The 24,568-nt window shown below is 35.8% G+C and overlaps 1 protein-coding gene across 11 annotated transcripts in view; it reads right to left on the bottom strand.

The window, feature by feature from the left end:
* The window catches only part of GLCE (glucuronic acid epimerase), a 111,573-nt gene that overhangs the window by 33,154 nt on the left and 53,851 nt on the right, over positions 1-24,568 (bottom strand). For 2 of the 11 annotated variants that reach the window (XM_047432376.1, XM_047432380.1), the window contains exons 3-4: positions 10,810-10,870; positions 9,553-10,337 (exon numbers count right to left, since the gene is read on the bottom strand). The exons of 5 other annotated variants lie outside the window; for them this stretch is intronic. In XM_047432376.1, coding sequence (XP_047288332.1) covers positions 9,553-9,623 — 71 coding nt within the window. In that variant the 5' untranslated portion in view covers positions 9,624-10,337; positions 10,810-10,870. Of the gene's footprint in view, positions 1-9,552; positions 10,871-16,814; positions 17,136-24,568 lie in introns of those variants that run through there. 4 more of the 11 variants (XM_047432377.1, XM_047432379.1, XM_017022073.2 and 1 more) reach the window with 3 other exon arrangements.

Genomic DNA, 24,568 nt, shown 5'->3' with positions numbered 1-24,568 from the left:
GAAACCCACAGTCTCTGTCATACCATCTCACCAGAAAGTTTCTCAATGTACAAATTAATCACTCTCTCCCCATGTCGCCCTTTACTATATCTCAATTACACAAATTCTTCAAGTCTGGTTTGCAAGTAATTATGAATCTGTGGGTATTTTTCTCTAGATTGAATTCCTTGAAGATGCAGGGCATTTTTTATTTATATATATATTTCCCTCTATCAATGCCTATTCAGGCATTCCACTCAAACATGCCTTATTCAGACACACTGAAGGCATGTATTTTGTCGCCATGTTTATAATTATGTATGTTCATTTTCAAACTATTCTATTGGGTTTTGTTACCTGTATGGCAACCTATTCTTTCCACAATCCAGAGCTTGTGCTGAATGAAAATCATCATCAGCACTCCATAAGTAGGTCAACCCTGCTACTCTCATTTATCCTCAAACCTTAATAAAACATATTTAGGCTAAAAAAATATTCATTTCAATGAGAAAGGAAGTTGTTCCTTTTTGGGAGGGTGGGGAAGGTCACAGAAAAAGGAAAGGTTTAACGAGTAGTTTTACCATATATGCTAAGCATTAGATATACTTTCGGTTATTGAAATCAAACCCTAAGAAGATTTTTTTTTTATCACCCACATATGGTTGAAGAAACTGAGTAGTTCTTAACTTTGCTGAAGAAAAATTATTAGTGAGCACATAGTGGGATTTAAACCTAGATTTAATCTGGCTTTGAAGTGTAAGTTCTTTACATCATAGTATCATATTATGGCTCCAAGTCACCATATACTTTCACACCAACTAGATAAGAGCAGAAAGATTTACCCTTGGTTGTGCAGACACAATCTTAAACTACTAGCATTATGCGTCAGCTTCTGAAACTAAAATATGTTTTTAAAAAGAGCTTTTAAATACATTCAGCTTACTTTTCTCTAGCATTGAAAGCCATAACATAAAAAAGTGAGACAGGAATGTTTTTTTAACAGCAAAGAGATGCTTTGTATCCAGAAAAGCTGAACAATTACAGTGTAGCTAAAATGTTCTTTGAAGTACTGTATAGCACTTAACTTTAAAAGCTCTCTGCTTGCTTCTAAGCAATGTGTCAAACTAAGCATATGCTATGTAAATAAATCAGCTCAGAAAGGAGTTTCAGGCTTCTCCAGCTGTGTTAAGATTTCTCCACTCATTAGGAAAGCCAAGAAAAAGAAAACTTAATGATGTGTTTACTCTGCATGGTTCAAACACAGGTTCTATAGAATAGTTGTTGACAATAAGTTTTTATGAAACATCTTTTACCAAGTTTGGCGCCATCCTGCAAACTGGAATGTCTAAAGGAGAAAGGTTCATCAAGAAGCCTGCTTATAGTAATTTTAAAAATCATAAGATACAGAGTATTAGCTATGCAGAAGAAATTATATGTGGAAGAAATCAGTACCCAATTTTTTTTTTTTAATTTTTTTGGAGACAGAGTCTTGTCAGTCACCTGGGCTGGAGTGCAGTGGCACATTCTCGGCTCACTGCAACCTCTGCCTCCTGGGTTCAAGCGATTCTCCTGCCTCAGCCTCACAAGTAGCTGGGATTACAGGTGTGCGCCACCATGCTTGGCTGATTTTTTTTGTACTTTTAGTAGAGACGGGGTTTAACCATGTTGGCCAGGCTGGTCTTGAACTCCTGACCTCAGGTGATCCACCTGCCTTGGCCTCCCAAAGTGCTGGGATTACAGGCATGAGCCACCGCACCCAGCCCCAAATTGGTTTTTAAATGAGTTATTATTAGGATAATTTTTTTATATAGAATGCAGTTTTGAGCTACTTCACAAAGCAATGCAGAAAGCATGATATCAGAAAAAATGATTGTGAGAATACGCTAATGGAAACATGTAAGGATAATCTGGTAGAATAAACAATACTGCAAATTCTACTTGCAATTTGAAGTAATGTTTTTTCTAATGTTTATGATAAAAAGAAACATTTAATATACAGCCTTCAGACACTGCATAATCTTTTGCAATTTTAAAGATACATAAGAGTAATATCCATATTATAAATTTCTCTTATTAATTAATAGTTAACAGAATGGCAGGTCAAGAGACTGGGAAGTGGGGACCTTTATAAAAAGGGGGGTAGAGGAAGAGACTAGCAGCAGTTTTGAGTCCTTATTAATGTAATCCCACTTAATTCTCATAACTACAAAGTGGTATTACCTTCGTTTTTCAGATAAGGAAACTGATATAGAGTCAACTGTTGACTCAATCACTTACTAGCTTTTCTTCCACTGCCAGTTATTTCACTTCTCTGAATCACGGTTTTCTCATTAGTACACTAGCACTAGTACTATCTAGCTCACAGGTACCTCACAGGTGTCTTGAGAACTAAATGAGATACGTGTATATACTCAAGAATGTGGAAATGTAAGTTCCATTTTTCTTTTAGAGCGGTTACTAGTTTTTTCAAGTCTCAACTTGTCCAAAATCTCTTAAGAGATACAGCTGGAAAATGAAACCAGATTATAGGCTCAGAACCCAAATTTATCTTAGTCCAGTGTTTGCCATTATACTACATTTCCCTGCACTTTTTATGTCATTTATTTCCTACTACTACTACTACATGCTAATTTTTTTAAAAGGCGTGTCTCAAATGTCATCTCCAAATTTTGAAAGCAATCAACAAATTCATCTCCAATTTCTAACAAAGGGCTCACAGCCTTCAATGATGTATCTCATATCTAAAACTAAGGAATCTATGAACTCGTTAGAAGGCCATATGACTCCAGAGAATGCCATAATAATCCAGAAATTTTAAAACTAAACAGGTTATGAACATGTATGGTTACAGCAGTTTATTAATGATAATTCCAAGCTGGAAACAACCCAAATGTCCACCAAATGGTGACTGGATAAACTGTGGTTCATCCATACAATGGAACACAACACAGCAATGCACTGATACTGATAACCTGCCACAACATAGATGAATCTCAAAAGCATTTCACTACGTGAAAGAAGTCAGACACAAAAGTGTACTTACTATATAATTTCATTTATGTGACATTCTGGAAAAAGAAAATCATAGGGATAAAAGTTAATCAGCAGTGGCAGGAAGGGAGTGACTTATAATGGGACATAGATGAGGGGCTTTTGAGGACGATGGAAATGTTCTAGATTTTGATTGTTGTGCTGGTAGTTAAATGACTGTATTCATCCGACAAAACTCATCCAACTATAAATTTTAAAGGGGCACATTTTATTTTATGTAAACTATACCTTAGTAAAATTAATCTATAATGGGTTTCTATAGTTTTGTTTTTGAGTAATAAATGCTATGAAAATATAGAAGAAACTAATTAAATAGGTCATACAAACAAAGTGAGAAGGTATATTTTTGGGACAACCTGAGCTTTTTAGTCTGATAGGCCTAAATTTGAATCCTGGTAAGCTTGACAATCTTGGACAAGTTAGTTGACCTTTCCAAACTTCGGTTTCCTCATCTGTTAAGCTGATATCATACTTTCTGCTTTATAAAGTAGTTTTAAGATTAAGTGAACACTTAATTTAGTGCCTACCACACAGTAGGCACTCATAATAGGCAAACAAAGGAAAATGTTTATGGATGAAGTGATATCTAAGTCAATTAGAAAAATAATAATCTTCAGGCCGGGCACAGTGACTCATACCTGTAATCCCAGCACTTTGGGAGGCTGAGGTGGGCAGATCACATGAGGTCAGGAGTTTGAGACTAGCCTGGCCAACATGGCGAAACCTCGTCTCTACTAAAAATACAAAAATTAGGAGGGTGTGGTGGCATAAGCCTGTAATCCCAGCTACTTGTGAGGCTGAGGCAGGAGAATCGCTTGAACCCAGGAGGCAGAGGTTGCAGTAAGCTGAGATCGTGCCACTGCACTCCAGCCTGGGTGACAAAGCGAGACTCTATCTCAAAAAAAAAAAAAAAAAAAAAAAAAAAAAAAAGAATAATCTTCATCTATCTGTATCAGTTCATTTAATCAACAAATATTTGTTAAACATCTGTTATAAGGTATGTTAGCATTTTCCCAAATAAGCAATCAGTAAAACCAGAGTACATATTCCCCTGAAAAAAATCACCTTTCTCTAAGCTTCTGTAATTTTTATTATCTCATAAAAGTTGATAAGAATAGCAATCAAGAAACAAATACAATCTGGCTTTCCACAGAATGATATATTGGTAGGCAACATAAATTTTATCAGCAATAAATGTGAATTAAATAAGATTTAAACTAAGATTTCCCAGCTGCACAATTTTCTAAGCAAATAAGAAGGTTACCAAATTGAATTAACTTCAGCACTGCAAGACCTTTCATTAACCTCCTGCTTAAGACCTTACTTCATGCTGATCAAAGGGTGTAGATACTTTCTGTTGGTTTTTAAATTTGAGGTGAATGTAACTTGCAGCACAGAAACAGCATTTACCTAAAAAAATAAGGTGGTGAAGCAGAAATGAAATTTTACCTAAGATTATTTCTTAAGGCATATAAATATATTCCATATATATATATCAATACATTTTCTAAGGGTTGAAACTAAGTTTTCACTGACATTTATATAAATAACCTAAAATCTTGGCACTAGGATTATTTACAAAGGTAAAACCTGAATTACAAATATTTGGCAAGGAGAAAATTATACTTTCTGTCTTTCTTCCCAAATCAAAATCATCTTCTATGGGGCGGCATCCCCACCTCAGCTGTGTGAACGGTGGCCCCAGAAAAAATAAGGTCAAAAAAATTAAAAAAAAATAATCTTCTGGCCGGGAGCAATGGCTCAATGCCTGTAATCCCAGCACTTTGGGAGGCTGAGGCGGGCGGATTACCTGAGGTCAGGAGTTTGAGACCAGTCTGGCCAACATGGTGAAACCTCCTCTCTACTAAAAATAAAAAAATTAGCCGGGTGTAGTGGCGTGTGCCTGTACTGCCAGCTACTGGGGAGGTTGAGGCAGGAGAATCGCTTGAACCCAGGAGGCGGAGGTTGCAGTGAGCTCAGATCACGCCATTGCACTCCAGCCTGGGCAACAAGAGCGAAACTCTGTCTCAAAAAAAAAAAACAAAAAAATCTTCTCCATATATGTATGTATATGTGCATCACATATATTTCATATGTATGTATGTATGAGTTTTCTTCCTGCAACAAGCTGTACTGTGTAGCCTACACACTGCTTCATGTTTTAAAAATTGCTTCCTTAAGACAGAATTTAAATTATTACTCACACATCATAATAAACTCTAGGTTTCAAATTGTGGCAAATGTTGATTAAGAAATTAAGATGTTATACAAATCTTTCCTTCTCTATTAAGCCAACCACAAAGTAGCTATGGTCCCTAAACAGTCTAATAGGGTACCTGGGTTATAAACTGAGCTTCTTATCATACCCTACAATGCACATATGTAATAAGGATAGAGACTGTTCTTTTTCCTTAGTGCTGAAACTCCACCTCTAGGAAGCAAAGTGACTTTAAACAGAAGTTTAACATATACTGAATTTGAAGACTCATATGACATCAATGTTTCCCCCCATTACTAGTGCCTGGGGTTGGGAGGGAGAAAGCATTCAAGTATGTTATTGATGTCTATTTCTTGACTTAAAATGTAATTTTTCTAGCAGTTTCTTGGTATAAATTTATAGAGCCTGAATGTAGAGATAAAACAAGGGGAATTTATAAACTAAAAACAAACATAAAGTCAATAAAATTTTGATTTCTCTTTTCTCCATGTTAGTCACAAGAAGTGACTGAGGAGGTCAAACTTCAAGACTTTTGGGGGCTTTATGGAATCTTTTACATGTTTTTCACATACTTTACACCTAAATCCTTAGAGGTTATAGAGCACCCAAAAGTTAAATATGTCCAGCTTGAACATACTTTTCTGAAAGGAACCCCTTAAGATGACTATGAAATTTTAAGCCAGTATGCCCTCTTTCAGCCTTTCTGGGAAAATGAGAAACTATCCTAAAATGCCCAAATATGAATATTCTACAATCTTTAATAATCAATGTTAAGTAAGTCATCTTACACTGTTAGAAAACTGTTTCTCAATTGTGTATTCTTGGCTCCTTTCCTACTGTCTGCTGCTCCTCCCGAAAAAGCATATTCTCCACCCAAACAGAAATACTCTCATTTAGTCTATGACATTGGACTAATCAAAAGCTTACTCTCAAGGATAAATGTCTTACAGGTCCTTGCTGCTGCATTTATGTCAAAAAATAAACTCCTTGAGAGAAGAAGCCATGTGTGAATAGATTTTTCCCCCTTGTTTTCTATTTAATTGTCTAATTGTTTCTAGTATACATATAAACAAATTATGTGAATATAATTCCCCCCTCAAATTCTACTCTGCTATTCTAAACACTTATTTTTTCCCTGTAAGAAGCCGCAGCTAGTTTAGGAAGTATAATGGTTCCAAGCTCTGTAACAATAAAAGCTAGAAAGCAACACATCAATTTTTTAAAAAGTACTTGAAATATTTTAGACAACTGGCAAAATAAAGGCATAACTCAATCATTTCTATTTTCATGACAAATAACTCAGGAGTAAGAACATACGGACATATTAATATACATACATACACACACACACACGATTCATGTAGTCATATCAATCCCATAAAACCAAGTGACTAATCAAGACTTCTGTTCCTAGGAAGACATTTCGTAATATAACACAATATGTATCTCAGGAGCCATTGCTTGAAAGTATCACTGATTACTAAGAACATAAATTAGTCCTAGATCAGCACTATATGTTAGAAAGACATTAATGACTATTCTACCATACTCTCCTACCAGACTGACACTATAGATTCACTCGTTAACATACCAGACACAGGAAGTTGTCCATTCTCAAATAATTAAAATTGTTATTTTCTTGCAAATAAAAGGAAATGGTAATTACTCAGACAATAGCCTACTTTACTCCATCCAAACGTATATATAAAAATCTGAGGCCGGGGTGGTGGCTTGGGCCTGTAATCCCAGCACTTTGGGAGGCCGAGGCAGATGGATCACAAGGTTAGGAGTTCGAGACCAGCCTGGCCAATATGGTGAAACCCTGTCTCTACTAAAAATATAAAAATTAGCCAGGCGTGGTGGTGTGTACCTGTAATCCCAGCTGCTTGGGAGGCTCAGGCAGGAGAATTGCTTGAACCCAAGAGGCAGAGGCTGCAGTGAGCAGAGATCATGCCATTGCACTCCAGCCTGAGTAGTGACAGGGAAATACTCCGTCTCAGAAAAAACAAAACAAAACAAAAAAGATAGATAGATATCTGAATCACATGTATATCCTAAATGGGAAAAGCTCATAGGCATATATAAAAATATCAAAAAGTCCTTTAAGATCTAGAGAACAAACAACAACAACAAAATGAAATGAGGGCATTTGCTGAGGATGTTGCCAAGTGCTCAGCGAATAGTCCATCAACTCACTTAACATGTGATTTTTAAGAATGACTGGACAAGGCTGGGTGGCTCACGCCTGTAATCCCAGCACTTTGGGAGGCTGAGGCAGGCGGATCACGAGATCAGGAAATCGAGACCATCCTGGCTAACATGGTGAAACCCCATCTCTACTAAAACAACAAAAAATTAGCCGGGCATGGTGGCGGGCGCCTGTAGTCCCAGCAACTTGGGAGGCTGAGGCAGGAGAATGGCGTGAACCCGGGAGGTGGAGTTTACAGTGAGGCAAGATCAGGCCACTGCACTCCAGCCTGGGCGACAGAGCGAGACTCCATCTCAAAAAAAAAAAAAAATGACTGGACAAAAAACACTAGGTAGCAAAGGCAAAATCTCTGGCTGCTCATAAAAACTTGGTAAAATTAGATATTTTGTCTTCAAAAGTCTAAAGTATAATAAAATCTGTCTCACCCCTGCTTACCCATACCTAAGCAGAGCACCAGGAGAAAAACTGTCATCAGAATTGCAAAGGGGATTCGAATTGAAAATTTGTTTTCTTTTTCAAAACTTTACTTTCATGGTCTTGTTTCAATAAACCAAAAAAGTGGTTTTATCTACTTGATGGATTACACAGATCAAGTATTCCATCTGAAATACAGGCCTTTTTACTTCTTTAGAAGGGAGCCATGAGCCAAGGAATACAGACAGCCTCTAGGAGTTAGAAAATGCAAGGAAAAGATCCCCACTACAGCTTCCAGAAGGAACATAATCCTACTGGCCCCTTGATTTTAGCCCAGTGATATGCATTTTGAACTTCTGATCTCCAGAACTGTAAAATAAATCTGTGTTGTTATAAGCAACTAAGGTTGTGGTAATTTGCTATAATAACAACAGGACACAAATACATCTAGAAATTAGTAAGCCCCAATAAGTATTTGCTATTTTTACTGATCTCTGGTTGTTGACACTTAGAATAGAATGTGCACTTTAACACTACTTTGATAATCAGGGTTAGCAGGAATAATCTTTTGGCTAATGAGAGAGCAACTCCCAATTAGAATGGAAACATTAAAACTAATGTAACAAGGATAAATCATGCCTCTTGTGGTAGACTACAGTTCAACTGAATCAATTATTGAGAAATAATGTTGCAGACCCCAACTATAATTGTATATTTGTCTATTTCTCCTTTGAATTCTATTAATTTTCCTTCATCTATTTTAATGCTCCATTATTAGGGGCCTACATGTTTAAGATCACTATATACTCTTGGTAAACTGACCCCTTTTATATTATCAAATGTCCTTCATACTTCTTGCTCTAAAATCTACTTTATCTGATACTAATTGTGGAACTCCTGTTTTCTTTTTATTAGTGTCTACACGGTATATCTTTTTTCATCTGTTTACTTTTCGTTTTTTTTTTTTTTTAAATCGAGATGGAGTTTCTCTCTGTCACCCAGGCTGGAGTACAATGGCGCGATCTTGGCTCACTGTAACCTCTGCCTTCTGGGTTCAAGCGATTCTCCTGCCTCAACCTCCTGAGTAGCTGGGATTACAGGTGCCCGCCACCATGCCCAGCTAATTTTAATTTTTCGTAAAGATGGGGTTTCACCATGTTGGCCAGGCTAGTCTCAACCTCCTGACCTCAAGTGATCCACCCTCCTCTGCCTCCCAAAGTGCTGGAATTACATACATGAGCCACCGCACCCAGCCTCAGCTGTTTACTATTAACCTGTGTTTTTATATTCAATGTGAGTTTTTGTAGACAATATGTAAATGAAATTTTTTTTTAAATCAAATTAGATAATCTCCATTTTTTAATGGTATTTAGACCATTTACATTTAATGTGATTATTGCTATGATTGGGTATATATCTGCTATCTAGCTATTGGTTTACTATGTCTCATCTTTGTCATTTTTTTTTCTTTTTGTCATTGTTGGGTAAGTAATTTTCATAATTCCATTTTATCTCCACTACTGGTATATTAACTATACTGCTTTAAAAAAACAAAAAAACCTCTACTTATGTGAAAAATTCCATAACATATTATTATTCTTGTTTTAAGCAATTATCTTTAAGAAAAAAGTTTCTTAAATGAGAGAAAAAAAGACTTTTATATCCATTCATATACACTCACCATTTCCAGGGCTCTTCATTTATTTTTGTAGATGCAAATTTCCATCTGATATAATTTTCATTCCTTGTCATCTCTGAACCCAAACTCAAACCTTTGTAATTCCTGAGCTGTTTGGGTTCCCTCTTCCTGTGCTATGGCCTGGAAACATTGTGGGCTCACTTCATTTGTTCTAAATCACACAGCTAGACTCTCTGGTTTAGCTTCTAGAGAAATGAAATTTGTGGCCATACTCATTTTAGCTCTGTCATATTTTGCTTTATTTCTTTAAAGCCAAATTATTAAGTTCACATGAATTTAGAATTATTATGTCTTTCCAGTGTATGGACCTTTTATATTATTATGAAATGACCTTCTTTACGTCTAGTATTGCTTTTTGCCTTAATGTCTACTTTGCCTGATATTAGCATAGCTTCATCAGCTTTCCTTTGATTAGCATTTGCATGGTATATTTTAATCCTTTTAGTTTCAACCTTTTTGTGTTCTTATATGTAACATGTATCCCTTGAAAATGAAATATATTTTGGTTTTAAAGAAATTTATAATCCCAGCACTTTGGGAAGCCAAGGTGGGCAAATCGTTTGAGCTCAGGAGTTTGAGACCAGCCTGGGCAACATGGCAAAACTCTGTCTCTACAAAAAATAAAGAAAATTAGCTAGGTGTGGTGGCATGCATCTGTAGTCCCAGCTACTTGGGAGGCTGAGGTGGGAGGATTGCTTGAGCCAAGGAGGCAGAGGTTGCAGGGAGCCGAGATCGTGCCACTCCAGCCAGGGTAACACAGCAAGACTCTGACTCAAAAGAAAAAGAAAGAAATTTAGTCTTCCAAATTTTTCAAACAAATTTGTCTTTTACTAGAATATTTAAACCATTTACATTTGATGTCATTAATATATTTTAAATTTTATCCATTAGCCTATTGTTTGTTTCTTCCAATTAACCTGTTTTATATTCTTTCTCTTCTCTCTTGCCTTCTTTTGATTTTATCAAGTAGTTTTCATTATTCAATTTCTTTTGCCAGCTAATAATTCTTTTACTGTTTCAATCATGGTTACCCTAATGATTAAAACCATCCTTGCTAATTACAGTCTAATACAAATCAGTACTTCTATCACTTTATAGCTAACTCTAAGACCTTAAAACACTTTATGTATACCCTTCCCACTTTTTGAGTTGCTGATATCATGAGTTTTAATTCCACATACATTTTAGAGCTCATAAAAATTGTCTGATACAATTAATATAGTTCATCTATATATTTACCCTTTCTGTCACTCTTCAATCCATACATACTGGTTTTGACAACTTATAGTTCCTCACAGTGCTATAAAATACAAAGAAGATACATAGAAAATAAAAATGTTATCAGACAGATTATGGGAAGGAAAAGCATAATACTTCAGTAGAGAAAGAACATAATGCCTTGGAGAAGAAAAACTTTCCTCCTAGCTTTCTCTACTATTTTAAGAGTAGGCTTAAATGTCAAATGCTAGCTTTCAATGCATCTATTAGCAGATCAACTGAAAATACTTGATGTGACAATTTTCAGTACTCTAATAACTCTTCCTAGAAAACATGCAACTTACCTATATTTACTTCTACTAGCAGTCATATTCTTACATATCATTGTTTACCTTACCCAGTTTCCACATAAGCTCATAAAAATAAAAGCGGAATTTTCTCATGTATAAAAATACAAAAGGGATTGATGCTACCATACTAAACCTATATTCCTTAATGTGCTTTTATAACCATACAGATTAGTCAGTCATATTTAACACTATCATGGACAACCAACAAAGGGTGAGAACAAAATTGAAATTATCAGTATAAGGTCAGCATATATGCCCAAGTTTGCTGCACACAAAGACTGTTTTTTAAATGATGGTTTAGCTATACTTGCAGATCTTGCTGCTTCTTGCAAGGTTTATGTTCGGCTCACAGCGTTCACTCAAAAAAGATTATCTAATTTTTTTTCTGTCATATGAAAAAAGAAAGTTCATGACTCTCCTGATTTAGTTGTCTAACAGTTCATTCTAACAAATACTGTGTTTTTGTGCATACTTAGAAAGCTTTCTCTGACACACCTACTCTAGTATCAGCTCTTCATTGAACAAATCATATTTAAGACTAGTGACTTGAGTTATCATAGGGCTTCACTAATACTGATGTTCTCTCTCCAATACAAATAGGGGTCTCTAATGATTATCTGGATACCCTTTCTATAGGGTATTAGTTAGTCAGGATAATCTACTAGGCCTGGGGCTGTAACAAATATTCCCCATAATCTTAGAGACTTAGCAAAAATGTCTCTCTTACACATGGTCTACTGACTCAAATTGCATTTAAACAATAAATCATCCTTGATTTAGTTAGGCAATAATTATATATATTTTATACACATACACATTTTTCCCTACTAACATCCGACTCAAGAATATACTAATTAGAAAGCTCACTCTTGGCTGGGCATGGTGGCTCACGCCTGTAATTCCAGCACTTTGGGAGGCCGAGGCAGGTGGATCATCTGAGGTCAGGAGGTCGAGACCAGCCTGGCCAACATGGCGAAACCCTATCTCTACTAAAAGCACAAAAATTAGCTGAGTGTGGTGGTGGGCGCCTGTAATCCCAGCTACTCAGGAGGCTGAGGCAGGAAAATCGCTTGAACCTGGGAGGCGGAGGTTGCAGTGAGCCGAGATCACGCCACTGCACTCCAGCCTGGGTGACAAGAGCAAGATTAGGTCTCAAAAAAAAAAAAAAAAAAAAAAAAAAAAGGCAAGCAAGCAAGCTCACTCTGGCTGAAGATATGAAATCTATATTAAAAGTCCTGATTTATGGATCAGGGATGTGCATGAACATGAAATTCTTATACTTTCTATGCAATCAAGTTTTGATTTTCACTAAGAAATTGGAATCCATTTTAGTATAAGCTTTCCTATTTGGCAACTGAGCTTTACTCTTAAGACTCCATTATTCCTATGCTGTTTTGCAATAAACACTATGGACAAAGTAAAAACGCTACATTTTAGGAGTGACTAATTGACTATAATATTTCTCAGATTTTGCTATCTTCTACATTTGTACACTTGTAGGACAGACAGGGTTTATACAGACCAGAAGGCTTATCAGATCTTTATAAAAATATTCCTTTGTCAGTGTCTATTTAACTTAATAAAGTACTCAGAATTCTATCTAACCTAACACTTCCAACAACAGCAGTGTTTGGAATATTGCCAAAATCATGTTTATTACTTATGAAATAGAGTTTTGAAATGTTCATAATCTGGAATAGAAGTAATATTTGTGTCAAATACTCAATTCTAACTCAATTCACCTAAAGGTAGGTAGTTTAAGTTACAGAAAACGCCATGATCCCAAGATGGTCTAATAACTGTATCTAATAACAAAAGATTAAAATAGGTGTGTGTGTGTCTGTGTGTGTGTGTGTGTGTGTGTGTGTCTGTGCATGCGTGCACACGTGTATGTGTTTAGAGGAGGGAGGTTTGATGAATTTAGGCCCTTAAGTCCAATAAAAATTGGAAACGTCATATATGTAACACTGGGAGGCAGTATAACATAGAAGTTAAGGATGTAGGCTTTTAGCTGTTTTTTTCTGGGTTTGAATCCTGGCTCTATCACTTATTAACTCTGTGTATTTAAGAAAAAGTTTAACTTGTTTATATCTTAGTTTCCTCATATACCATATGGATTTAAAGAATACTTCATAATGTAGTATTAAATGAGTTAATGTACATAAATTGTTTAGATCGATGCCAGGCACAGAGAGAGTACTCAGTAAATGTTAGGAAATATCAGCACTACCACTCTGAAATCAGTAAAAGAATCCTTAGTATGCAAGTCAAAGTTCAAATCTACAAATTTACACATAATTTACAGGAAGTTGTGCATACTTTCAGTCTAATGTCTACTCAAGTTTCAAGACCTTCATTATTCCACAAAAAAATTATTGCTTATACATGATAACCTAATCAACAAGTGTTTACTGAATACCTACTAGGCACTGTGTGTACAAACAAGAGGCATAACAACTGCCCCTCAAAACCTTATAATTATTAACAAATTATTTAGACTATGATATAAGACCATATTTAATTGAATGCTGAACTCTGTGGTACAGAATATAAGTCCTGGTATATCCTAATGTTTACTGAAGACTAAGAGGACAGGGACTTCTATGACAGCCGACGCAAGGATGCCTAGCTTACTGCATACATTCCCAAAACTAAGGGCTTACTCTTTATTATGCCAACTGTAGGGCAGATGAAATAATCTAACCCCTCTCCACCTCTGCCCTGCAAAAAAGAAAAAAAAAAAGCTTTAAAATATTTGGCTAATGAAGCTTTTATTCCTAATACCAATAATCATACCTTTTTAGACATATTATATCACTATGGGTATATGTAGCACCATAAGCCATAGAACCACCAGCATAGTTATCTTGGGCTGCCATTCTAAACACAAAAAACAAAAATCTGATTTATTAGGAACCAAAAAACTATATCACTTATGTTGAGTTTACTATTAACATAATTTCTGCCATAAGAAATCACAGAGGGATTCAAGAAAGATGACAAAGTAGGAACCACCAGGAATCTGTCTCCCAACTTAGACAACAACTGCACTGGCAGAATCTGTCTAAAGTAATTATCTTGGAACTCTGTAGTCCACTGAAGGCTTGCAACTTCCAAGAGAAGGACTAAATGATAAAGTGCATTAATTTGGGTCATTTTCAGCTCTTAACACTGTTGCAGCAAGCCATCCTCCACTCCTAGCTCCCTGGCAGGCAGCTGTGCATGTGCTCCTGGAGCAGTTTGTACTCAGCTTGCAGGAGCCCACGTAGGCAAAAAGGACCTTGTCCTCCAGGTATGGAGATCTGTACTCTGATCACTGATTGTTGCCAAAGATCACATGGGTGTAGTCAAAGAGGCTGCCAGCCATTGTTGTTGCACCTCCTCCCGGTGTTGCAAGAGCCCCCCTGCTCCCCTGAAATGACTTCCAGGGAACTTAAAGGGCCAGAGCCAATTTTTCTTCCTGTATTTATTTTTCTCTTTTTCTCCTTTTGGGAGCCAGACATTAAAGACTGGGACATTCAAAAACAACTGTAAATATGGACAAAACTGGAAAATGATCATGCATGTCCAGGAAAAGATGCAAAGAAAATACCTGGGAAGACCTTAAGTTTATATTTCTATCTCTGACATAGGCTGATCCCTGTTTCCTTACCCAGTCTACAAAAACCAAAAACAATAAACAAAAATAATACTAAAACAACCAGCCCTAGTGAAAGGAGAAAATCTGATTTCCAGACTTAGCACATTAATAGATTTAAATGTCTAGTTTTCAACAACAACAAAAAATCACAAGGCATACAAAGAAACAGGAAAGTATGGCACATTCAAAGGCAAAAAATAAATCATAGAAATCGTCCTTGAAAAAGACCTGATGGCAAATCTACCATAGCTCTTTAAATGCTGTCTTAAAGATGTGCAAAGAACTAAAGGAAGGTGCAGACAGAATCAAGAAAATGATGTATGAAAAACGTGTAAGTATCAGTAGAGCTACAGAACCTAAAAAAGAACCAAAGAGAAATTCTGGAGCTGAGAAGTACAAAATGAAAAATTCACTATATAGATTCAAAGGCATATCTGAGCAGGCTGAAGAATCAGCTAACTTTAAGATAGGACAATTGCAACTATGACTCTGAGGAACAGAAAAAAAAAAGACTGAAGAAAAATGAAGAGAATCTAAGAGATCTGTGGGACACCATCAATTGGATGAGTATATACATTGTGGGAGTTTTGAAAGGAGGAGAAAAGAGAAAGAGGCAAAGAGATCACATGAATAATGATGAAAAACTTCCAAAGTTTGATGAAAGACACGAGTATAAACATCCCAGGAGCTCAACAAACTCCAAGTAGCATGAACTCAGAGACCCATATTGGGATATAGTATAATGAAACTATCGAAAGCCAAAGACAAAGTGAGGATCTTAAAATCAGTAAGAAAGAGACTTATCATATACAAGGGACTCTCAAGAAGGTTATCATCATGTTTCGCATCAGAAACTTTGGAGGCCAGAGGCAGTGGGTTGACATATTCAATGTGCTAGAAGGAAAACAAACAAACAAACAAACAAAAAAATCTGTCAAACAAGAATCCTATATCCGGCAAAAGTGTCCTTCAAAGGTGAAGGAGACATTAAGATATTCCTAGATAAATAAAAGCTGAAGGAATTCATTACCACTAGACCTGCCCTGCAAGAAATGATCAATGGAAACCTATAAGGTAAAATGAAAGAACACCAGAAATAAATATCTCAATAAAAGTAACTACATGGGCAATCATAAAACCTACTATTGTTGTAATAATGGTCTGTAACTTCACTTTTTGTTTTCTATACAACCTAAGAGACTACCGCATTTAACAGTTTGTTTGTGGGTACATAATGTATAAGGATGTAATTTGTGACACCAACAACTGACAGGTGTGGGAATAAAGCTGTAGATGAGCAGGATTTTTGGATATTATTGAAGTTAAACTTTTATAAGCTCAAATTAGAGTGTTATAACCTAGGATGTTAATTGTAATCCCATGGTAACCACAAAGAAAGTAGCTATAGAAAATACACAAACAGGAATGTGAAATTATTTTAAACCTTTCACTATAAAAAAAATCAACTATGGATTCAGCAAAGGAGCAGGATATGAACAGAAATCAGTTGCAGAGGACCCAAACAAGATGGCTGACTAGTCATAGCCAGAAATAACTTCTCCCATTGAGATAGACCAGAGTATCAACTAAACTGGCATAATCCAGACAGACAATCTGAGAAAATCACACTGAAAGAGGTTAGAGAGATGACCTAGATGCCAGGACTGAAGGGGGAGGAAACTGGGAACCCCACACAGGGTTGCCAAGTGCCAGGATATGTTCAAGGCCCTAAACAGCTCCTTAGGAAGGGGTGGCTCTGACCTGTATAAGCTGCCAGACCTGGAGAGAACAGGGCTTTCTTTCCTGTGGGACCAGGGTGAGCCTGATCTGTGCACCCTGCTGTCCACCAGCCCCTCGCATAGTCCCTGTCTGGTCGTGCCTACACACAGCAAAGCCTCAACTACCCTGCTGGAGCACTTCCTGCCCGTGGTGCCTCCACCACCCCTGCCTCCCACCCATGGTGCCCCTGCCAGAATGCCTCCCACCTGCAATGCTCCCACAGGAGCACTTAAGCCCATGGACCCGTGCTGCCATACCTCATGGAATGCTGTTGTCAGCAGTCTGGGAGTACCTCAGCCCCTCTAGCCCAGCCTGGGCTCAGCTTCGAGGAATCAGTGGACAAAGCTGTGGATTCAGTCCAGGCCACCCAGAGTTAGAGCATGCAGCCCATGAGCGTAAAGCTGAACCTTGGCCCTTTAAAAGCATTCAGAAACAAAGGCATTCAACCACATGCAACTTGTGCCACAGGCAAACTCTTGAGGCAATAAAGATCATAAAAACAAAAAGTCCCATTTGAAGGACAGCAACTTCAAAGGAAAAAAGAACATCAGCCCTCATCAATGAGAAAGAACCAGCACAAGAACTCTGGCAACTCTAAAAGCCAGGGCATATTTTTTTTTTTTTTTTTTTTTTTGAGACAGCGTCTCACTCTGTTGCCCTGGCTAGAGTACAGTGGCGTGATCCTGGCTCACTGCAACATCCACCTCCCAGGTTCAAGTGATTCTCCTGCCTCAGCCTCCCAAGTAGCTGGGATTATGGGTGCCCACCACCACGTCCAGCTAATGTTTGTATTTTTAGTAGAGACGGGGTTTCGTCATGATGGCCGGGCTGGTCTTGAACTCCTGACCTCAGGTGATCCACCTACCTCAGCCTCCCAAAGTGCTGGGATTATAGGCATGAGCCACCGTGCCCAGCCTAATTTTTTTTAATTAGTTAATTTCTATATAATAACAATGAACAATCTGAAAAGAAAATGACAAAAGTAATTCCATTTATTATAGCATCAAAAAGAATAATATACTTAGAAATTAACCAAGGAGGTGAAAGACATGTAAAATGAAAATTACAAAACACTGCTGAACAAAATTAAAGAAGACATAAATAGAAACATATCGCATGTTCATGGATTGGAAGACATAATATTGTTAAAATGTCAGCACTACACAAAGCAATCTACAGATTCAATGCAATCACTATCAAAATCCTGATGACATGTTTTTCACGGAAATAGAAAAACCTAACCAAAAATCCACATGGAATCTCAAAGGACCTCAAATAGCCAAAACAATCTTAAAAAAGAACCAAGTTGGAAGACTCACACTTTCTGATTTCAAAAGTTAGAATGATCAAAACAGTATGGTACTGGCATAGACATATAGATCAATGGAATACACTAGAGGGCCTAGAAATGAACTCTCAAATATATAATCAAATAATTTTTGACAAGGGTGGCAAGACCACCCAAAGGGGAATAAAAGCACAGTCTTTTCAACAAATGGTGTTGGGAAAACTGGATATCCATATGCAAAAGAGTGAAGCTGGATCCTTACCATATGCAAAAATAGATGAAAGACTTAAACATAAATTCTAAAACTATAAAATTCTTAGAAGAAAACAGGGCAAAAGCTTCACAATATTGGATTTAGTAATGATTTCCTGGATATTACTCAAAGACACAAGCAACAAGAGAAAATAGACAATTTGGACTTCATGAAAAACTTAAAATGTTGTGCATCAAAAGACAATATCAGCAGAGTAAAAAGGCAACTCACAGAATAGGAGCTAATATTTGCAAATTATGTATCTGATAAGGGATTAATATCCAGAATATATAGATAACTTTTAAAACTCAACAACAAAAAGCAAACGACCGAATTCAAAACTGGGCAAAGAACTTGAATAGACATTTCACCAAAGAATATACACATAATTGGCCAAGAAACACATGAAAAGATGCTCAACATCATAAATCATTAACGAACACAAATCAAAACTACAATGAGATACTGCCTCATACCCATTATCAAAAAACAGAAAATAACAAGTGCTGACAAGGATGTAAAGAAAATGGAACTCTTGTGCAGTGTTGATGAGAATGTAAAATTGTACAGCCACTTACATGTGCAGGTTTGTATAAAAGAAAGAAAAATAAATTTAAAAAATAAGAAAAACAAAATGGTACAGCCACTCTGGAAAAACAGTATGACTGTTTCTCAAAAATTTAAAAACAGAGTTTACCATACGATCCAACAATTCCACTTCTCAGTATATCCCTAAAGAACTTAAAACAGGCTCTCAAAGAAATATTGGTACACCTGTGTTCACAGCAGCATTATTAACAATAGCCAAAATGTGCAAGCAACCCAAGAGTGTATCAATGGAATGAATACGTAAAATGTGGTATATACATACAACAAAATATTTTTCAGCCTTAAAAAGAAAGGAAATTATGATATATGTTACAACATAGATGAACCTTGAGGACATTATACTAAGTGAAATAAACTGGTCACCAAAAACACTAATACTATAATTCCATTTGTATGAGGTACTTATTCAAAATCATAAAGACACACAGTAGACTGGTGGTTGCCAGGGAGTGGGGGAAGGGAAAACTGGGGAGTTACTGATTAATCAGTACAGAGTTTCAGGTTTACAAGATTGAAAGAGTAATGGAAATGGATGCACAACATTATGAATGTATTTAATACCACTGAACTATATACTTAAAAATAGTTCAGATGGTAAATTTTATATTACGTGTATTTTAACACAATTTAAACAAGTGAAAACAAAAAAGAATCACAGAACTGGCAATAATCTTAAAAACCGTAATCCAACCAGCTTATTTGTAAAGAAGAACAACAAAAAAATAAGATCTAGAGTTTAATGACTTGTCCAAAGTCACACAACTAGTTCTGGCTGCACCAACACTAGACCCAAGTCTTGTGATTACTTACAAAGGCTTTGCTTTCCATTGCAGCTTTCTAACTTTGTTGTTCTACTTATAACACTGAAATAAATACACAGACTCAGATACTACTTTTATATATACTACTTAGTATTACAACATACTTTACCCTAGGATGTTATTAAAAAAAATATTAAATTATTGGACTTTTTCCTTACCAAATGTCAACTAACATTTATCACTTTTTCAACAGAAAATCTACAGTTTGACTGCTTATATATACTGAAACAACTGTCTATACAATTTCATTATCCTTGAAACATGTTATGTATTTTATTGATTTGGGAATATTAATATGCTGGAAATAAATACTAAATAATGACTGGACTATAGATAAATTTATATTAAGTATACAATAAGACTGCTAATATAACAAAAATATTAAGAAAAACCCTTACAACTGACAATTCTACATGAAGTTATTAATGTTCACAGTATAACATTACTATATTACTATCAATACCATTAAGATAAAGACGGTTTAATCACTATGGAAATAGAATTTACTGATCTACAATAAAATGAGTTTATTGACAAAACAGTTTAAAAGTATTATTTGCAGCTATATGAGTTTGTTTTACAAATATTATACTAAGTATCATTTTAAGAGTTTAATTGGACTATCAGAAAGTTACATTTGCAGTGTTAAATTTTTGAGATGAGTATTTTTACTGCTAACAGCAATGCAGATATGTGCATTATTTCTGATTCACAGATAATTTGTTTCTAAGGAAACAATTATCAGTAATGTTATTAGATAATCTTTTCCAAGATATCAAATGGATATTTAGCCATATGATTAGCATTAATAGGTATTATACTGACAGTTCTCTTGTATAACACACATAAAACAGGTTTTCCAAAAGTGAAGCCCCGTGAGGTTGAAATTTCAGTCTTGTCTAATTATTAATTAAACATAAGGTTGAAATTTCAGTCTTGTCTAATTATTAGTTTCCCTCCCACAGGCTTAAGTTTAGAGAGATTTTCTAACACTTCTCATCACTTTTCTTTTTCTGTTTGTTTTCTTTTTTGAGACTGGGTCTCACTCCAGTGGCTTGATCTTGGCTCCCTGAAACCTCTGCCTCCCAGGCTCAAGCGATCCTCCAGCCTCAGCCTCCCAAGTAGCTGAGACTATAGGCATGCACCACTACACCCAGCCAATTTTTTTGTATTTTTTTGGCAGAGATGGGGTTTCACCATGTTGCCCAGGCTGGTCTTGAACTCCTGAGCTCAAGGAATCCACCGGCCTTAGCTTCCCAAAATGCTGGGATTACAGGAATGAGCCACTGTGCCTGGCCTATTTTTCTAGTCTTAGAAGAAGCAATATAGTATAGTTGATAAAAGTGTGAATTTCCTTTTTTTTTTTTTTTTTTTTTGAGACAGTCTCGCTCTGTCACCCAGGATGGAGTGCAATGGCACAATCAGCTCACTGCAACCTCCGCCTCCTGAGTTCAATTGATTCTCCTGCCTTGGCCTCCCAAGTAGCTGCGATTACAGGTGCGCACCACCACGCCCGGCTAATTTCTGTATTTTTAGTAGAGACAGGGTTTCACCATGTTGGCCAGGTTGGTCTCGAACTCCTGACCTTGTGATCTGCCCGCCTCAGCCTCCCAAAGTGCTGGGATTACAGGCATGAGCCACCGCGCCTGGCCTGCTGTGTTCCTTTGAATAAATTTTGTTTGTAAAATGTGTGTAATCACGCCTCCTTTGTAGGCTAATTGTGAAGACTAAATAAATTGTGAGGATTAAATTTAAGAATTAAATAAAATAATAAAGAAACAAAGTGTCTGAGTCAGAGTCAACCAAAGAACAGCTGTTCAAAAGAAGTTAAATTCCATCCTTCTTCAATACCCCAATTTCAGAAGTGCTGATTTCAACAATGAAAGTGAAATTAATAATGTCAACTGTCATACATGCAAAACTGCTAGCAGGTGCCACTTTATTATGTTTCAGGTTCTAAAGCATACTCAATTGAAGTCACAAAGTTCCTAGTCTCCTATAAACAAGGAAGTAGGCTGCTATCAAGGCCTTACAGAACAAATAAAAACCCACATTCTTTCTTCTTTTTTTTCCTGCTTTTCAAGAGAAGGGAAAAAGGAAATAAAATATATATTTATAATATATGTATATATAGTAATTTTTCTACTTTTACAAGTCTTGGAAAACAGTTGGTCTTATTTACATCTCATTTACATTTCTAGGAATAAGGATCAATAAAAAACAAACAAAAAATACATCTCATTTACAAATATGGCCTGAGAAGGGACAACAATGTAAGATATATACAATGACTACAGCAGTCATTAATGTAAGTTATATATACACAAGTTACATCCAATGTAATTTATATATATATGTTTTATAAGTTTTATATTGGAAAGGGCAGACCTTTCTATAATGGCTTTGGTTTAAATCAAAGACTGTCATCATCATCATAATAACAACACTGGGTTTAGCCATTAGAAATATCAGTCATGTGATCACACTATTAAATAGGACATTTAAAGAGGTACGCTTATTCTAAAGCAGAAAAAGTCATCTTCCCATATGTAATGACTTCTAATACTAAAGTTATTTTCAGAATCTGAATATGTAAATAAAACATTGTTTCGTTTGGCTTTCTCCTACTGAAATAGGAAACAATCTCCTACTGAAATAGGGAACTCACTTAGCTAATTAGAATTATCAACAGAATCAATCATAATTACTCACATAATGTGACAGGAATGCTATCCTTTAAGGCATATATTATTTTCCAAATCTAGGCATACAGTATTTTTCAAATCTAAGCATATTATTTTGTGTAATATAGTAAAGTTCTTAAAAGGGCAAGAACTATACAGCAGCTATACAGTTTGCTGTATAACTTTCTATTTGTTATACAGCAAACAAATAGAAAGGCCTAATTAAATAACATGGCATCCCCGCACATATTCTAATGGGTTAAACATAGGTCTTTACAAAAAGAAATAGTAAGTATCAGGCTTAAATAGGGTAGAAAACTACCACTGAAACTTGCTATGTCTTCATTCCATTCTGACAGAAACTAAATATAAGTCCTAAGTATTTTAAGTTGCTAGTTTAAATGTTTATATAAAGTAGCCCAAGTTTAAAAACATTCATTTCTAATCTCTTTCACCTAATATTAACTGATTAGTTGTAAGAACATACCAAAGTTTGTCCATATTGACAGATATCCTAAGACAGTATCAGGTTTCTTTGTCCATTTGATACTCAAAGGTGAAAAGATCTCACCAAAGACTCTAAAATTTATTTTTCTAGAGTAACATTTGTCAATCCAATGCCAATCTTCAGCACTAGCAGTATTTATTACACTTCGTCTTGTTTTACATGTTTTTTCAGTCACAGATGTAATCTTTGGATAGATTCCTACGATGCAATCTAGCTTTAGACAACAATAAAATTATCATTCAAATACTCACCTATATAAAACTATACATACCTTCCCTTGGAATAGTTACAGATAACCAAAACTCATATATGAAAATGTGTATTTTATTATAAAGCATAGCTAAATAGTCAGAGATAATAACAGCTAATTTGGTCAAAAAGATATTGGAAAGACTATCTACTTGGCTGATCATAAAAGAAGAAAATACAGAGAAATAAAAGAGACCAGCTACCTTTTCACAAACATATAAGGATGACATATAAAAAGGTGCTCAACATTATGAGTCATTAGAAAAACACAAGATGCCACTACACATACATTAGAACAGATAAAAGGCAAAAATATACTGCACAATATCAAGTGCTGACAAGGATGCAGAACAGCAAAAATTCTTATATATTGGTGGCAGGAATGCAAAATTGTATATTCACTTAGAAATAGTTTAACAGTTTCTTATAAAGTTAACTATACACTTAAGATAAGGCCCATAATCCTGCTCCTAGGTATTCACTCAAGTGAAATGAAAACTTATGTATACACACACACAGAGACACACACACACACACACACACACCCTTTATGTAAATGTAGTAGCTTTATTCACGATTGACTGAAACTGCAAACAACCCAGATGTCCCACAACAGATAAATGAATAAGCAAATCGTGTACATATAATAGAATACTACTCAGCAACAAAAAGGTATAAACTAAGGATTTATGCAACAAATGGATGAAACTTAAAATGTATTTTGCTAAATGAAAGAAGCCAGACCTAAGAGGCTACATATTATATGATTCCATGTATATGATACTCTGGAAAAGGCTAATAACTAAAGGGATAGAACACACATTAGGGGTTGCCAGGATTTGGGGCTTGGAAGAGAGGCTGACTACAAAGTGGCAGCACAAAAAAATTGGGGGTGCGGGGGTGGTCACAGAACTGCTGTTGGTAGATATGTGACTCTATGCATTTTTCAAAATCCACAAAACTACAACACAAAGAATGAATTTTACTGTATACAAATTAAATGCAAATAACTAGGATATCAGGGAAACCCAAGATGGAATGTGAACTGTGACAAAATGAATCTAACTGTGGTACAAATGAAATGGCACAGTAGATTGATGGGGATATACAGAAGAAAAGACCTGACAACTAACTTTGGAAAAAAGCATTCTGGCTGGATAATGTGAGAATAAAGATAAAAATAACTGTATACAAACACTGTATTCTATTTGGTAAATTTGTTTCTCACAGGAGTATGGATTAGCAATTTGGAAACTACTATATATGTATAATAAATACATAAATATAGTGTAGAGAATGAGAGTCAGGTTTCTCACTGTGGGAGAAAGAAATTACAAATAAGCAAAGGGGAAATGCTAGAATAATCCCTGTGGTGCAAAACTGGAGTTGAAGGTATCAGCATGAATTAAAATTTTAAGCGTGTATACAGAAAGTAAACACAAATAAATATAGATGTATGTATGTGAGTTGGTATATGTAATTCGTCCGTTTTCACACTATTATAAAGAACTGCCCAAGACTGGGTAATTTATAAAGGAAAGAGGTTTAATTGACTCACAGTTCAACATGGCTGGGGAGGCCTCAGGAAACTTACAATCA

Source organism: Homo sapiens, chromosome 15 (assembly GCF_000001405.40).
Source record: "Homo sapiens chromosome 15, GRCh38.p14 Primary Assembly".
Taxonomy (NCBI): domain Eukaryota; kingdom Metazoa; phylum Chordata; class Mammalia; order Primates; family Hominidae; genus Homo; species Homo sapiens.
This window is presented reverse-complemented; position numbering and strand designations above follow the sequence as displayed.